This window comes from Homo sapiens, chromosome 1 (assembly GCF_000001405.40).
Source record: "Homo sapiens chromosome 1, GRCh38.p14 Primary Assembly".
In the NCBI taxonomy this organism is placed as follows: domain Eukaryota; kingdom Metazoa; phylum Chordata; class Mammalia; order Primates; family Hominidae; genus Homo; species Homo sapiens.
The window spans coordinates 113,723,193-113,740,551 of record NC_000001.11 but is presented as its reverse complement, the minus strand read 5'-3'; the positions used below and the strand labels follow the sequence as shown (position 1 = coordinate 113,740,551).

Below are 17,359 nucleotides of genomic sequence, written 5' to 3'. Positions count from 1 at the left end.
TGCACAGCAAAGGAAACAATCAAGATTGAAGAGACAACCTACAGAATGAGAGAAAACATTTGCAAACTTTTCATCTGAAAAGGGATTAATATATATAAGGAACTCAAATAACTCAATAGCAAAAATCCAAATACTTCAATTTTAAAATGGGTGAATGAGCTGAATAGACATCTCTCAAAAGAAGACAATACAGATGGCAAACAGGTATATGAAAAAATGCTTGATACCACCAATCATCAGGGAAATGCAAATCAAAACCGCAATGAGATACCACGTCAACCTAATTAGAATGGCTATTATCAAAAAGACAAAAAAAAATGCTGGCAAGGATGCAGAGAAAGGGGAATTCTTATACACTGGTGGTATGAATGTAAATTAGTACAGCCATTATGAAAAACAGTCTCGTGGTTCCTCAAAAAACTAGAAATAGAACTACCATATGATCCAGCAGTCTCAGTATATATCCAAAGGAAGGAAAATCTGTATGTCGAAGGGATATCTGCATTCCTATGTTTATTGCAGCACTGTTCACAATAGTCATGACATGGAATTCAGTGTACGTGTCCATCAACAGGTGAATGGATTAAGAAAATATGGTATATATACACAGTGGAATACTATTTAGCTGTAAGAAAGAATGAAGTTGTGTCATTCATGGCAACAAGAATGGAAATGGAGAACGTTATGCAAAGTGAAATAAGCCAGGCACAGAACGATAAATACTTTCTGTTCTCACACATACATGGAAGCTAAAAAGTTGATCTCATAGAAGTAGAGAGTAGAATAGTAGTTATTAGAGGTGGGGAAGTATAAGAGGGAGGCAATGACAGATAGCCAACGGTTGGTTAACAAATACAAAAGTACAGCTAGATAGGAATAAGGTTTAGTGTTCTGTAGCACTGTAAGGTGGCTATAATTAACAATTTATTATATTTTTTCAGATACCTAGCAGGGTGGATTTTGAATGAACCCAACACAAAGAAATGATAAATGTTCAAGGTGATAGATATAGTTTGATCATTACACATTGTATGCATGTATTGAAATATCACATTCTACGCCATAAATATGCACAATTATAACGTGTCAATTAAAAATAGTAGAAGCAAAAAAAAGATGGAAGTTATTTGTTTTTGAGGAGTGAAATTCAGAGGAGAGGAGAGATGGCTTAGGGGACTGTTGTTTTTCACGTATTGATCTGTTGGCACTGTTCGAATATTTTAAAAAGTGATAAAGTATATTGATGCATTAGTGGAGAGGATTAAAAACTAAAACAAAATATGTATTAATGGCAAGTTCCTTTAAGGAGCTTTAGGATTAAAGTGTCCCCAGTAAAAGGGAATCAGATATAGAGAAAAAGAAATGTAAGTTTATTTTTTGTATTTAAAAGGGCTTTTCTGGCTGGGCGCAGAGGCTAACACCTATAATTCCAGACTTTTGGGAGGCCGAGGTGGGTAGATCACCTGAGGTCAGGAGTTTGAGACCAGCCTGGCCAACATGGTGAAACCCCATCTCTACTAAAAATACAAAAAATTAGCCGGGCTTAATGGTGGGCACCTGCAATTCCAGCTACTCAGGAGGCTGAGGCAGGAGAATCACTTGAACCTGGGAGGCAGAGGTTGCAGTGAGCCGAGATCACGCCATTGCACTCCAGCCTGGGCTACAAGAGCGAAACTGTGTCTCAAAAATAAATAAATAAATAAAAGGGCTTTTCTTTATTTCTGATTTTATTTTTGTTTTGTTTTATCCTAGGGTTTGAAAAACAAACCGAAAAAGATGGGCCACATAAAGCCAGACTTGATTGACGTTGACTTAATCAGAGGTTAGTCTTAAAATTGTTTTTTATGTACATTATTATATTATTTCACAGGGATGCTTAATTTTCAATATCTTCTCTATATGATGGTATACTTTAATTTCTAAATGTAACACTTTACTCTCATCATTCAGGCTTTAGCACTTTTTCCACCTCTTAGTACTGTGTGACTCTATAAATTACATGCATACATGTAAAAGAGGGATGAACGTAGAGACTTGCTGTTGTGTAATTAAGATAAATATGTTGTTTAACATTCAAGTAAGCCTGACTTATTTTGAGCTTCTGTCCTAGTGATTGAGGCAAGAAGTTATTACATTTAACAAACATCTAAGAGGGTTTTTTTTTTTAACTGAACAGGTTTTGTGCTGATTTTTGCACTCACCTATTTTTAATGTAGTGCTACAGGTGGCCTTCAATACAGTGTATATAAATGTTTGATGTTTTGTTTTATTGTATGTTTAAAGGGTCAACATTTGCCAAAGCAAAACCTGAAATTCCATGGACATCTCTGACTCGGAAGGGGCTTGTTCGAGTTGTATTTTTTCCATTGTTCAGCAATTGGTGGATTCAGGTTACCTCTTTAAGAATCTTTGTTTGGCTGTTACTACTTTATTTCATGCAAGGTAATTGGAGAAATTGGAATAAGCAATGACAGTTTCTTTTTGCTGCTTTTGCTATTAAATAATGAAGACCTACTGATTTTACATTTACCCTTTCATTTGACAGTTTAAAGTACACAGAATGAAGAGACATATGCCATTTGGGGTTCATATTAAAATTATCTGCTATGAGAGAGCAAACATACTTGTGTAACTCTTTCTCCTCACTTGAGTTTCTTTCTACCTGTCTCACTGGCCAGGCCTTCTCAGTCTTTTCTTGTGTCTGACCTTTGAGCCTTTGAAATTGGGTATGTGTGTTTTTTGTTTTTGTTTTTGAGACGGGGTCTCTCTCTGTCACCCAGGCTGGAGTGCAGTGGCATGATCACAGCTCACTGCAGCCTTGACCTCCCAGACGCAAGCAATCCTTCCACCTCAGCCACCCAAGTAGCTGGCACTACAGGTGTATGCCACTGTGCCTGGCTAATTTTTGTATTTTTTTGTAGAGACAAGATGTTGTCATGCTGCCCAGGCTGGTCTTGAATTCTTAGGCCCAAAAGTGTTGGGATTACAGATGTGAGCCACCACGTTTAGCCTGAATATTGGATTACCTAAAGTTTGCACCCTAGGTTCTATTCTCTAAGTAGTCTCATTAAGGCCTATTGCTTTAAATACAATTGATATACAGGTGATTCCCAAATCTATATCTTCAGGCCAGATCTCTCCGCTGCACTTCAGACTTATAAATCTAATTGCCTGCTTTGACATTTCCATATGGAGATTTAATTGGTATCTTGAAGTTAATTATATAAAAAATGGAACTCTTCACTTGTGTGTGTGTGCGCTGCACACATGTGCCTGTGTGTGTAAACTTGTTCTTCTTTTTGTCTCCAGTTCATTAAATGATACTATCAATCACCCAGTATTCAGGTGAAAAATTAAATCTTCCTACTCTACCCTACCATCAACTCTCACATGTAATATGTCACCAAGTCTGTGAGTTCTTCCTCCAAATTTTTCACTATATTTATCTCAGTCTCTACTGCCATGATCATTGTCCACAGCACCAGCATTTCTTTGCTTAGACCACTGGAATAACATCTACTCTGAGCCTTCTTTCTACCAATCATTCTTTCCACAGCAATTAGCAAAATCTTTTAAAAACAGAAGCCATATAATGTCATTTTCCTGCTTAAAACCCTGTAGTGACTTCTGTTGACCTTAGAATAAAAATCCAAAGTTCTTACCATGGCCTATAATGCCCTACAGGACCTGGTGCCTGCTCTTCTCTCAGACATCATCTCCTATTTCTTACCACTCTGCTCGTGCTGGCTGTAGACATAATATCCTTTTTTTGTTCTTCACACGGAGCTGTTTTGTTTTGTTTGAAGCATTCGGAGTTTGGCTCTTTTTTCCCAGGCTGGAGTGCAGTGGTGCAATCTCAGCTCACTGCAACCTCTGCCTCCTAGGCTTAAGTGATTCTCGTGCCTCAACCTCCCGAGTAGCTGGGATACAGGTGTGCGCCACCACGTCCAGCTAATTTTTTGTATTTTTAGTAGACATGGGGTTTCACCATGTTGTCTAGGCTGGTCTCGAACTCCTGACCTCCGGTGATCCACCCGCCTCAGCCTCCCAAAGTGCTGGGATTACAGGTGTGAGCCACTGTGCCCGGCTGTTTAAAGCATTCTTAAGGCTTTTCAAATGGCTGGCTTTTTTCTCACCTTTAAATCTCAGCTGGGTTGTAACTTTCATAAAGAGGCCATTCCTATCTACGTATCTTTTTTTTTTTTTTTTTGAGATGGAGTCTCGCTCTGTTGCCCAGGCGGGAGTGCAGTGGCGCGATCTTGGCTCACTGCAAGCTCTGCCTCCTGGGTTCACGCCATTCCCTTGCCTCAGCCTCCCGAGTAGCTGGGACTACAGGCACCCGCCACCACGCCCAGCTAATTTTTTGTATTTTTAGTAGAGACGGGGTTTCACCGTGTTAGCCAGGATGGTCTCGATCTCCTGACCTTGCTATCCGCCCGCCTCGGTCTCCCAAAGTGCTGGGATTACAGGTGTGAGCCACTGCGCCTGGCCTCCTATTTATATTTCTAAGTAGTCCTAATACCCTCTAGTCACTATCATAAGAATCAATTTTAATTTCTGGGTTACACATCGCTACCTGATGTTTTCTAACTGTGTGCAGGGACCCAATATATTCTCTTTACGACTGTATCCCCATTGTCTACCAAGGAAGTAGACAGTATATACTATGGTTACATCTCTGCAAAAAGATATGAATTAGAACAAAGAGTGGGAGAAAGTTGGGTTAAGGTGAAAGAATTATGGGTTCTTCTATTTGTGTCAGTTAAAAATTTTTTTAAGATATAGAGTGAAAAATATATGTATAAATTTACAAATCTATAGGTTTAATTTTTTTAAAGTTGTGAAAGTGTCATTTATTAGAATATCTGTAATGGAAATGTTCCGCGTCTGTGCTGCCCAGTATAGTAGCTACTTAGCCATATGTGGCTATTGAGTATTCAAAATGTAGTTAGTGTCAGTAAGAGACTGAATTTTAAATTTTATTTGATTTAAATTAAGTCTTCATAATGATCATTTTAATGGCTGCATAATAATTCATCATATGGGCATACCATCATTTAAAACTATCATTTTAATGTCTGTACAGTCTATCATATGTAGAGTCATATGTAGAGTCTATCATATGGATTTATCATAAACATCTTTGTATAGCTGCCTTTTTTTTTTTTTTTTTTTTTTTTTTTTTTGAGACAGAGTCTCATTCTGTTGTCCAGGCTAGAGTATAGTGGTGTGGTCTTGGCTCACTGCAACCTCTGCCTCCCAGGTTCAAGTGATTCTCTTGCCTCAGCCTCCGAAGTAACTGGGACTACAGAGACACACTACCATGCCTGGCTAATTTTTGTATTTTTAGTAGAGACAGGGTTTCACTGTGTTGTCTAGGCTGGTCTTGAACTCCTGACCCCAGGTGATCCTCCTGCTTCAGCCTCCCAGAGTTCTGGGATTACAGGTGTGAGCCACCACACCTGGCCTATATAGCTTTTAATAGTCCATTATGTAAGAGTACTGTAATTTACGTAACCTTTCTGTATGAATCTGTTCAGGCTGCTATAAGAAAAATACCATAGACTGGGTGTTTTATCAACAACACAAATTTATTTTTGACAGTTTTGGAGGCTGTGAAGTCCAGGATCAAGGTGCCAGAAGATGTGGTATCTGGTGAGGGCCTGCTTTCTGATTCATAGGTGTCAGTCTTCTTGCTGTGTCCTCACATGGTGGAAGGGGCAAGGGAGCTCTTAGGAGTCATTTTATAAGGCCACATCTATAAGGGCACTCATCCCCAAACTATAACCAACTGGTTATATGTGACTGGGGACCTCTCTAACATGCTTTCTCACTTTTTACAATGTGGATAGGCTAAGAACTTTTCAAATCTTTAAGTTATGCTTCCTTTTTGCTTAACAATTCTGTCTTTTAAGTCATTTCTCTCTTCTCACATTTTACTATAAGCACATAGGAAGAGCCAAGCTGCACCTTTAATACTTTGCTTAGAAATAGCTCCAGCTAAATATGCAATTTCATCACTTGCGAGTTTCACTTTCCACAGAATCCTAGACCACAAATACAGTTCAACAAGTTCTTTACCACTCTGTAACAAGGATTGTTTTTCCTTCAGTTTCTAATAACATATTATTTCTCATTTCTATCTGAGACCTCATCAGAATGGACTTTACCTCATATTTTACCAATAGTCTGTTCATGGTTACTTAGGTATTCTTTAAGAAGATTGAGGCTTTTTCTCTAGCTCCCCTCTTTTCTTTCTTTGTTTTTGTTTGTTTGTTTTATTTTGTTTTTCAAGACAGAGTCTTGCTCTGTTGCCCAGGCTGAAGTACAGTGGCGTGATCTTGGCTCACTGCAACCTCCGCCTCCCAGGTTCAAGTGATTCTCCTGCCTTAGCCTCCTGAGTAGCGGGGATTACAGGCACCTGCCACCATGCCTGACTAATTTTTGTGTTTTTAGTAGAGATAGGGTTTCATCATGTTGACCAGGCTGGTCTCAAACTCCTGACCTCAGGTGATCCACCCGCCTTGGCCTCCCAAAGTGCTGGGATTACAGGTGTGAACCACTACACCCGGCCTCCTCTTTTCTTTCTGATTCCTCACCAGAATCTCTTTTAAAAATGTTTAAGGCAATCTAGGCTTTTTCTACTATGTACTTCAAGTATTCGTCTAGTCTCCACCCATTACCTATTTATAAAGCTGCTTCCACATTTTTAGGTATTTGTTATAGTAGGACCCCCCATTCTCAGTACCAATTTCTGTCTTATGCCACTTGGGCTGATACAACAAAAATATCATGGCCTAGGTGCTTTATAAATAACAAAAAGTTATTTCTCACAGTTCTGAAAAGTTCAGATCAGAGCACTAGCAGATTCAGTGTCTGGTGAGGGTCTGCTTCTCTCTGGGTCCTCATGTTGCTGAAGGGCCACAGGAGCTCTCTGGAATCTCGTTAATAAGGTTACTAATCTCATTCATGAGAGCTCTGCCCTCATGACCTAATCAGCTACCAAAGGCCCCATCTCCTAATACGATCACATTAAGGATTAAGATTTCAATATGAGTTTTGTTGGGGACATATGTTATAGCATCTTCCCATATTGTGGGCATTTAGGTGGTTTCTATGTGTTTTTTATTAATAATGCCAGCAGGAACAAAGTTTTCCTTATTTTATATTATTTATTTAGGATTTGTTCTTTGAAATAGAATTAACAGATCAAAGAATGTGGACATTTAAGGCTTTTAGTACATATAATGAAATTGCTGATGGCACAGTTGTTTTGGAAAGCAATAGATGAGAGTACCTGTTTTACCATGGTCTTACCAGCATTATTATAATTTTAAAAATTGTTATCTAGGTGGGGGGCAGTGGCTCAAGCCTGTAATTCCAAAACTTTGAGAAGCTGAGGTGGGAAGACTTGAGGCCAGGAGTTTGAGACCAGCCTGGGAAACATAGCGAGATCCCATCTCTACAAAAAAAAAAAAAAAAAAAAAAAAATTAGCCAGGCGTGGTGCAAGCCTGTAGTTTCAACTACCTATGAGGCTGAGGTGGGAGGATCACTTGAGCCCAGGAGTTCGAAGTTACAGTGAGCAATGATTCATCACTGCACTCTAGCCTGGCTGACAGAGTAAGACCCTGACTGCATCTCTGCCCGCCCCCTCAACAAAAGATTGTTACCTAATTTGACGTGCAAAAAATATTTAGCTTGTTGAATATGAATTTCCTTGGTCACTTGTAAGGGTAAAATTAAGTATTTTTTCCACACATTTATTATTAAATTATTTATTCCTTCCTTGTTGATAGATACTGCATCCTATATAGATAAAATTTCCATATATGCCATGGTCTGTTTCTGGACTGCATATTCTGTACCATCAGTTTTGGTTATTCTCATATCTATGCCATATATTAAATTTTTGTATTTGCCATGGTATGTTTCTGGACTACATACTCTGTACCATTAATTTCTGGTTATTCTCATATCTATGCCACACTGCTTTCATTACTACACAGCTGTTTAATATGGATTAACATTGAGCAGGAAAATTGTTTTTTTTCTTTTGAGATGGAGTCTCACTCTGTTGCCCAGACTGGAGTGCAATGGTGTGATCTCGGCTCACTGCAACCTCTGCCTCCTGGGTTCAAGCAATTCTCCTACCTCAGCCTCCCAAGTAGCTGGGATTACAGGCGTATGCCACTACGCCCAACAAATCTTAGTATTTTTAGTAGAGATGGGGTTTCCCCATGTTGACCATGCTGGTCTTGAACTCCTGACCTCGTGATCCACCTGCCTCGGCCTCCCAAAGTGCTGGGATTACAGGCCTGAGCCACCGCGCCTGGCCAAGTATTTCTTCATTATTCTGCTTTCCCACATTTTCTCTCATGCTTTCTTGTTTATCCTTTCCAAAATAGGTTAGCATTATTTTATCGTGATTAAAACCAAAAGACCCCCCAAAACCAACAATACAGGAATTTGGATTGGAATTCTCTGATTATCCCCTTTCCCCAGCACACATACACAAATGTAGATGTATACATATATTTTTGGAGGATGGACAGAAAATTTGACTTCTTTACAACATTCTCTTTGCTATACAGAAATATGATATTGCTCTCCTTTTACTCAGGACTTCCTTTTTTTTTTTTTTTTTTTTTAAAATTGAGACGGCGTCTTGCTCTGTTGCCCAGGCTGGAGTGCAGTGGCTTGATCTCGGCTCACTGCAACCTCTGCCACCCGGGTTCAAGTGATTCTCATGCCTCAGCCTCCTGAGTAGCTGGGACTACAGGTACCCGCTACCATGCCTGGCAAATTTTTTTGTATTTTTAGTAGAGACGGGGGTTTTGCCACGTTGGCCAGGCTGGTCTCGAACTCCTGACCTCAGGTGACCCTTCCGCCTCGGCCTCCCAAAGTGCTGGGATTACAGGTGTGAGCCACAGCGCCTGGCCTTAATCAGGACTTCTGTTTATCCCTCAGTAAACCTTTGCAGGATTTTTTTCTTTCTTTCTTTCTTTCTTTTTTTTAAAATAGAGACGGGGTCTCACTCTTACTCCCAGGCTGGAGTGCAGTGGCGTGATGGTATTTCACTACAGCCTTGAGCCCAGGCAATCCTCCTGCCTCAGCCTGTTGAGTAGCTGGGACTATAGGTGTGTGCCACCATGCTCAGCTGGTGTTTTTTATTTTTTATTTTTTAGAGATGGGCTCTCGCTATATTGCCCAGGCTGGTCTTTGAACTCCTGGCGTCAAGTGATCAAATGATCTTCCTGCCTCAACCTCCCAAAGTGTTTGAGTTACACGTGTGAGCCACCACACCCAGCCCTGGATTTTTTTCTTATAAGGCCTGCTTAGATCTTGTTAAATTCAATTTTTTTTATTGTGGTAACATATACACAACATGAAATTCACCATCTTAACCATTTCTCAGTGTAGAGTTCAGTGGCATTAAGTATACTGATACTGGAATACAACCATTACCCACTGTTTATTTCCAAAATTTTTTCATCTTCCCAAACTGAAACTCCATACCCATTAAACTCCCTATTTCCCCTACCCATCGTCCCTGGCAACCACCATTCTACCTTGCCTCTATGATTTTGACTACTCTGGGAACATCATATAAGCAGAATTATATAATATTTGTCCTTTTGCAATTGGCTTATTTCACTTAGCATAACATCGTCAAGGTTACCCATGTAGAATGTTTCAGAATTCTTCCTTTTTAAAGCTGAATTGTATTCCATTGTATGTAGATACCATGTTTAGTTTGTACATTCATCTTCTGAGAGATACTTAGAGATTTCCACCTGAAATTAAAATATTTTGTCTTTGTTGCTGCTGCTGAAAATACATGACTTTTTAAGTCTATTTTTACAAGTTTTAAGTGGTTTTTGCTGTCACATTTGAAAGCTATTGGTTTATAATTAAAATTGTTATAACCAGCCGCTTTATTAAACTCTTTGTCATCAATTCTAATTGTTTTTCAGTGCTTGTATTAGATTTTATAATGATACAACCATATGGTTGGCAAATAATGACAATTTGGTTTTCTCCTTTCACATACATTTCATTTACTTTCACCCAATCAGTCAACATTTCAGAGTAACGTTAAATGATAACAGTGAGTGGTCATCCTTGTTTTGTTCCTGATTCAGAATATCTTCACTAACATATAATATGTATTGATTTTACTTATATATTCTTTAGCATGTTAAGGAAATATTTTTATTCTTAATAGTTTAGAAAATATGGGCATTTGAGATGAATTACAAATCAAGAACAAATGTATGTATGTGTTTTTTTTTAATACAATGCTTTTTTTTTTTACTGTTACCTGGAGTTGGGCCAGACTTCACAGGTTTAGGGCACAATCCTCTACAAGACTGCTCTCCCTTCAGATATCAGCCTCCAGTTTGGGGGTCCCCAGGATCACTCTCACTTCTGACCAGGTAGCTATAGTTTTGGGTCCCCCAGGCATTCCCTCAGGTTTGATGATTGGATGGAATGACTCTCAGAACTTCAGAAAGTGCTAAACTTACAATTATAGTTGCATTATAGCAACAGAATATAAATGAGAGGAGAGGTATAGGAGTGTTTGGGATGGTTCCAAACAGGATGCTTCCGTTGTCCTCAGGTAGCAATATGCAAAATATTGCCACCCAGGGAAGCTCCCCGAAGCTTTGGTATGTAGAGTTTTTATTGAGACTTTATTATTTAGGCCTGATTGATGGAATCATTGACATGTGGTTGAATGCAGTCTCCATCACCCTTCAGTCCTCAGAGGTCTCCTAATATGGCTCAAAGACCCAAGCCTTTAATCACGTAGTTGGTCTTTTTGGTGTGACCAGCAGCCATCCTTAGGTACCTTGTTAGCATAAACTATCAGGCCTGGCACAAGGGGCCCACAATGAATAGCAAAGGTACTTCTGTCACTTAGGAAATTCAAGGGTTTAGAGGTCACTTCCCAGGAACTGGGATCAAATGCCAATCAAATTCTTTTTTTTTTTAACTTTTTAATTTTTGTGGGTATATAGTAGGTATATATATTTATAAGGTAGATGAGATACTTTGATACAGGCATGCAATGCATAATACATCATGGCAAGTAGGGTATTCATCTTCTCAAGCATTTATCCTTTGTGTTACAAACAATCCAGTTATACTCTTTTAGTTCATTTTAAATGTACAATTAAATTATTGACTATAGGTCAGCCTGTTGTGCTATCAAATACTAGGTATTTTTCGTTCTGTCCCATGAACCATCCCCACATCCCCTACTCCACCCCCACTACCCTTCTCAGCCTCAGAGCCTTCTACTCTCTGTCTCCTTGAGTTCAGTCATTTTAATTTTTAGCTCCCACAAATAAGTGAGAACATGTGAAGTTTGTCTTTCTGTGCTTGGTTTATATCACTTAACATAATGTCCTCTAGTTCCATCCATGTTGTTGCAAATGACAGAATCTTATTCTTTTTTATGGCTGGATAGTACTCCATTGTGTATATGTACCACATTTTCTTTATCCGTTCATCTGCTGATGGACACTTAGGTTGCTTCCAAATCTTGGCTGTTGTGAACAGTGCTACAACAAATGTGGGAGTGACTCTTTGATATACTGATTTCCTTTCTTTCTTTTGTTCTTTTTGTTTGTTTTGAGACAGAGTCTCATTCTGTCACCCAGGGACTGGAGTGCAGTGGCATAATCTCAGCTCACTGCAACCCTTTGCCTCCTGGGTACAAGTGATTCTCCTGCCTCAGCCTCCCAAGTAGCTGGGATTACAGGTGCCTGCCACCATGCCTGGCAAATTTTTATATTTTTAGTAGAGACAGGGTTTCACCATGTTGCCCAGGCTGGTCTTGAACTTCTCACCTCAAGTGATCTGCTCACTTTGGCCTCTCAAAGTGCTGGGATTACAGGCATGAGCCACAGTGCCCAACCACCATTTTCCTTTCTTTTGGGCATATACCCAGCAGTGAGATTGCTGGATCATATGGTAGTTCTATTTTTCTTTATTTGAGGAACCTCCAAGCTGTTCTTCATAGTGGTTGTACTACTTTATATTTCCACCAACAGTGTACGGGGGTTCCCTTTTCTCCATATCCTCTCCAGCATTTATTATTGCCTATCTTTTGGATAAAAGCCATTTTAACGGGAGTGAGATGATATCTCATTGTGGTTTTGATTTGCATTTCTGTGATCAATGATATGAGCACCTTTTCATATGCCTGTTTGCCATTTGTATGTCTTCTTTTAAGAAATGTCTATTCAGATCTTTTGCCTGTTTTAAAATCAGATTATTAGGTTATTTCCTATAGAGTTGTTTGAGCTCCTTATATATTCTGGTTGTTAATCCCTTGTCAGATGGATAATTTGCAAAGACTTTCTCTCATTCTGTGAGTTGTCTCTTCTCTTGGTTGATTGTTTCCTTTGCTGTGTAGAAGCTTCCCTCGGCCCGGCCCTCCGCCCCGCCATCCCTGAGACGGAGTCTTGCTCTGTCACCCAGGCTGGAGTGCAGTGTTGTGATCTTGGTTTATCTTGATGTGACCCCATTTGTCCATTTCCGCTTCACCAACCAATTTTTTTTTCTTTTTTGAGACCAGGTCTCACTCTGTTGCCCAGTCTGGAGTGCAGTGGTGTGATCTTGGCTCACTACAGCCTCGACTTCTGGGCTCAAGTGATCCTCCCACCTCAGCCTCCTGAGTAGGCTTGGAGTGGGACCACAGGCGCGTGCCACCATGTTTGGCTAATTTTTTTGGAGTATTGTGGAGATGGGGTTTTGCCGTGTTGCCCAGGCTGGTCTTGAATTTCTGGGCTTAAGTGATCTACCCACCAGACCTCAAAAAGTGCTGGGATTACAGGTGTGAGCCACCATGCCCAGCCGCCAACCAAATTCTTTATTACATAACTGTCAATTGAGATGATTTGTATAGATGTGATCAAAATTACATTGTATGAAATTATTACATTAATTCACTTGAGTCAACAAATACTTAAGCTTATTGTGTCTGTGCCAAATATTCTTCTAAACGCTGAGATAAATTTTCTACTTTTAAATGTCAAATTCACTTTGGTAGTATTTCAATCATTTATCCAACAAATATTGAGTGTCTATTCTGTGCTCCAGGTACTGGTTTCCAGCAAATATTGAGTGTCTATTCTGTGCTCCAGGTACTAGTTTTAGATATAGCGGTGAACAAATCAGACAAAACTCCTTGTCTTCATGGTGCTTACTTTTTAGTGGCAAATTTATATTTACATTCTCAAGTCAACAAGATCTATAGTTTATTGTCTGGGTACTTTCATTATTGTGTTTGAGTATTGGGATTTTATTAGGGCATGGAATAGGTAACTTTCTTTTTCTCCGCACAGGAATAGTTTGTATAGCACAAGAATTACTATTTATGTGAAAATCTGAAATATGTTAAAATATGGAGATACTTTTTGATATTTTTCCATTTCATTTACTTCTTTAAACATTTTATATATATGCTTTGATTTGCATTTCATATATATATATATATACACATATATGTATTTCTTCTTCATTATATATGAAATGGAAAGGCAACATAGCATAGTAGTTAAGAGTGAGGACTCTGGAGCCTGACTACCTGGGTTCAATCCCCATCTTTGCTGTTTGCTTTCTGTGTAGCCTTGGAAAATACTCTTCCTTTGAGCAACACAGCACTTCAAAATGTGTTTTATATACAGCATCTAGTTGTTTTTGTGGTGGAAACCCTTTTGAAATATCTAAATTATCATGCTGCTAGAAAGGTAAATCCTTTTAACACAGTATTCTTCACTTGCCGAGGGATCTAGGGCTTCAGTTTTTCACTTGGCTAATGTGCATCTGGATGGGCATTGTAGGAAACTATTTATTTGTGTACTTTTTTAAATGATGGATTTTTATAGAAACAATTTGTATAGTTTTTAGAATTAATTTTAAAGAAGAGCTCTAATGTTTTACATCTTAAAACCTCTTCTTTTCAGTTATAGCAATTGTCTTATATTTGATGATGCCTATTGTGAACATAAGTGAAGTACTTGGACCCTTGTGCCTTATGCTACTCATGGGAACTGTCCACTGTCAAATTGTGTCTACTCAGATAACAAGACCATCAGGAAACAATGGAAATCGAAGAAGAAGGTAAGATGAGAAATTACACTGTAGTTGTATATTTTCTGGGAGAGTTATTGTAGAGATTTATAAAACCTTTGATTAATTTAAAATCTCCCTCTTTTGTGTTTTTCATTATTTTTTGGCTTAGAAAATGAATGCATTACTTTGCACTTTTCTCCTTGATGCTGAGAAAACCTTGTTACAAACTTTTAGTTCCAGTTTGGGATTTTTGTCATTCAGTACAGTTGTTTAAAAGGAAAATTTCTATACTATATTATTCTTTATAAAATTTATCATATATTGGCTTCAAAGAAAACATTCTCTTTGAAATTCAGTCTTAATCAAAATTTGGTGAAAATTCACTGTAAACAAGGATCTTGGTACATTTGGTTAGCGCTACCAAAATTTTACCTTTTTTCAAAGATGTGTAATAAGAATTGATTTCTAAGTGGTCTAAACTTTTTTTTTTTCTTTTTGAGACAGAGTTTCGCTCTTGTTGCCCAGGCTGGAGTGCAATGGCGCAATCTCGGCTCACTGCAACCGATACCTCCTGAGTTCAAGCGATTCTCCTGCCTCAGCCTCTCAAGTAGCTGGGATTACCTGCGTATGCCACCACACCCAGCTAATTTTTTTTTTTGAATTTAGTAGAGATGGGATTTCACCATGTTAATCAGGCTGATCTAGAACTCCTGACCTCAGGTGATCCACCCGCCTCGGTCTCCCAAAGGACTGGGATTACAGGCGTGAGCCACTGCACCCAGCCGTCTAAACTTTTAATAAGGATTTATTTGGCTTTTCTTTACATATTGAATTCATGTTATATTTTAATCGATTATATGGTATATGTGAGTTTTGGAACTGTTGAAATGTTCTTAGGTATATGCAGTGTTATTTTCCAAAAGTTATGTTATCTTCCCTCAGAATATCTGTAGATTTTTGCCTGCGTAAGCAATTACTAAATAAGAATTTTCCATTAGGTGCAATGAATTTCAACATATTCTTATTTTTGAATGTTATTTTAAAAACTTTTTAAAAAAGATTTCTTGTAAATTCAGTTAAATTAATGGAATGTTTTCTAAGGAAATAAAATGCTATGCTATGTCTTATTGATATCTATAGTATATATCTTTTGTCTAGGATATCAATAAAAAGTGATCAGTTGCTACTATTCTATGTTACCCTTATAAAATGTGCCATAAGAGGTAGATTCCTAACATCCATATTTAAAGAAATTGCTCCTTCTGCTAGTGGTGTTGAATGTGCCTGAACAGACTCTTGGTCATACAAGTAGAAATTTTTTTTTTTAGTAGATTCTGAATAGCGGTTCTATTTCTTTAATGACTGAACAAAATGGTAGCATAGGACTTTGGTTTGGAATCTGGTTTTGCCCTCAAATCAGAAAGTTCTTGCATAGTTTATCCGCAGAATATGAAGTTAAACTATACTTGATTTAAGGTAGTAATTTGTCAGTATAATTTTCTGTAGGGATATTTTTGGCAGAAATAGAAAGGGTCTTGAATAATCTGAAGTTATTGAAATTTTTTTTTGTAGAAAATTACGAAAAACTGTAAATGGTGATGGGAGCCGAGAAAATGGAAATAACTCCTCTGATAAAGTCAGAGGAATAGAAACTTTGGAATCTGTACCCATTATTGGTGGTTTTTGGGAGACTATCTTTGGCAACAGGTGGGAGTCTTTTTTACTTGATTTTGTATTCACGTAGTGTTTACAGAATGTATAGTATCATCAGGCCATAGGAGTAAGTAGTATAGACTTATCTTGGTGTGATTTTTAAGGGTTATCAGAGGGCTTGCTTACTCAAAATGTTGTCTTCACTGTCTGTTTTGTTACCTGTGAATGCAGTAATCTATCATGGAAGTATTCTGTTTTTTTTTTTTTTTTTTGAAATGGAGTCTCATTCTCTCACCCAGGCTGGAGTGCAATGGCACGATCTTGGCTCACTGCAACCTCTGCCTCTTGAGTTCAAGCGATTCTCCTGCCTCAGCCTTCTGAGAATAGCTGGGATGACAGGTGCCCGCCGCCACACCCAGCTAATTTTTGTATTTTATTAGAGACAGGGTGTAACCATGTTGCCCAGGCTGATATCGAATTCCTGACCTCAGGCCTCAGGCATGAGCCATCACACCTGGCCTGATTTCCTTTCTTTTGGTTATATACCTAGCAGTGGGGTTGCTGGATCATATGGTAGTTCTATTTTTCTTTATTTGAAGAACCTCCAAGCTGTTCTTCATAGTGGTTGTACTACTTTACATTTCCACCAACAGTGTACGGGGGTTCCCTTTTCTCCATATCCTCTCCAGCATTTGTTATCGTCTGTCTTTTGCCTAAAAGCCATTTTAACTGGAGTGAGATGATATCTCACTGTGGTTTTGATTTGCATTTCTGTGATCAATGATATGAGTACCTTTTCACATACCTGTTTACCATTTATATGTCTTCTTTTGAGAAATGTCTATTCAGATCTTTTGCCCATTTTAAAATCAGATTATTAGATTTTTTCTATAGAGTTGTTTGAACTCCTTATATATTCTGGTTATTAATCCCTTGTCAGATGGATAATTTAAGACTTTCTCTCATTCTGTGAGTTGTATTTTCACTTGGTTGATTGTTTCCTTTGCTATATAGATGCTTTTTAACTTGATGTGATCTCATTTGTCCATTTTGCTTTGGTTGCCTGTGCTTGTGGAGTATTACTTAAGAAATCTTTGCCCAGACCAACATCTGGAGAGTTTCCCTAATGTTTTCTTTTAGTCATTTCATAGTTTGGGGTCCTAGGTTTAGTTCTTTAATTAACTTTTATTTGATTTTTGCATATGGTGAGAGATAAGGGTCTAGTTTCATTCTTCTGCATGTGAATATTCAGTTTTTCCAGCATCATTTATTGAAGAGACTGTCCTTTCTCTAATGTATGTTCTTGGCATCTTTGTCAAAACTGAGTTCACTGTTGGCCGGGCACAGTGGCTCATGCCTGTAATCCCAGCACTTTGGGAGGCTGAGGCGGGGGGATCATTTGAGGTCAGGAGTTCAAGACCAGCCTGGCCAACATGGCCAAACCTTGTCTCTACTAAAAATACAAGAATTATCCGGGCGTGGTGGTGGGCACCTGTAATCCCAGCTGCTCGGGAGGTGGAAGCAGGAGAATTGCTTGAACCTGGGAGGCAGAGGTTGCAGCGAGTCAGGATCTCACCACTTTACTCCAGCCTAGGTGACAGAGTGTGACCCTGTCTCAAA

At 38.7% G+C, this 17,359-nt stretch overlaps 1 protein-coding gene across 19 annotated transcripts in view; it reads left to right on the top strand.

Moving 5' to 3' along the window:
• Positions 1-17,359, top strand: part of PHTF1 (putative homeodomain transcription factor 1) — a 63,058-nt gene that overhangs the window by 19,337 nt on the left and 26,362 nt on the right. For 18 of the 19 annotated variants that reach the window (NR_136565.2, NR_136567.2, NR_136566.2 and 15 more), the window contains 4 exons: positions 1,753-1,822; positions 2,284-2,442; positions 13,978-14,134; positions 15,659-15,793. Coding sequence is in view for 13 of the 19 variants with exons in the window: in NM_001323042.2 (NP_001309971.1) it covers positions 1,753-1,822; positions 2,284-2,442; positions 13,978-14,134; positions 15,659-15,793 (521 nt within the window). In the remaining 6 variants the exon portion in view is untranslated. The remainder of the gene's footprint in view (positions 1-1,752; positions 1,823-2,283; positions 2,443-13,977; positions 14,135-15,658; positions 15,794-17,359) is intronic. The other variant, NM_001323046.2, reaches the window with a different exon arrangement.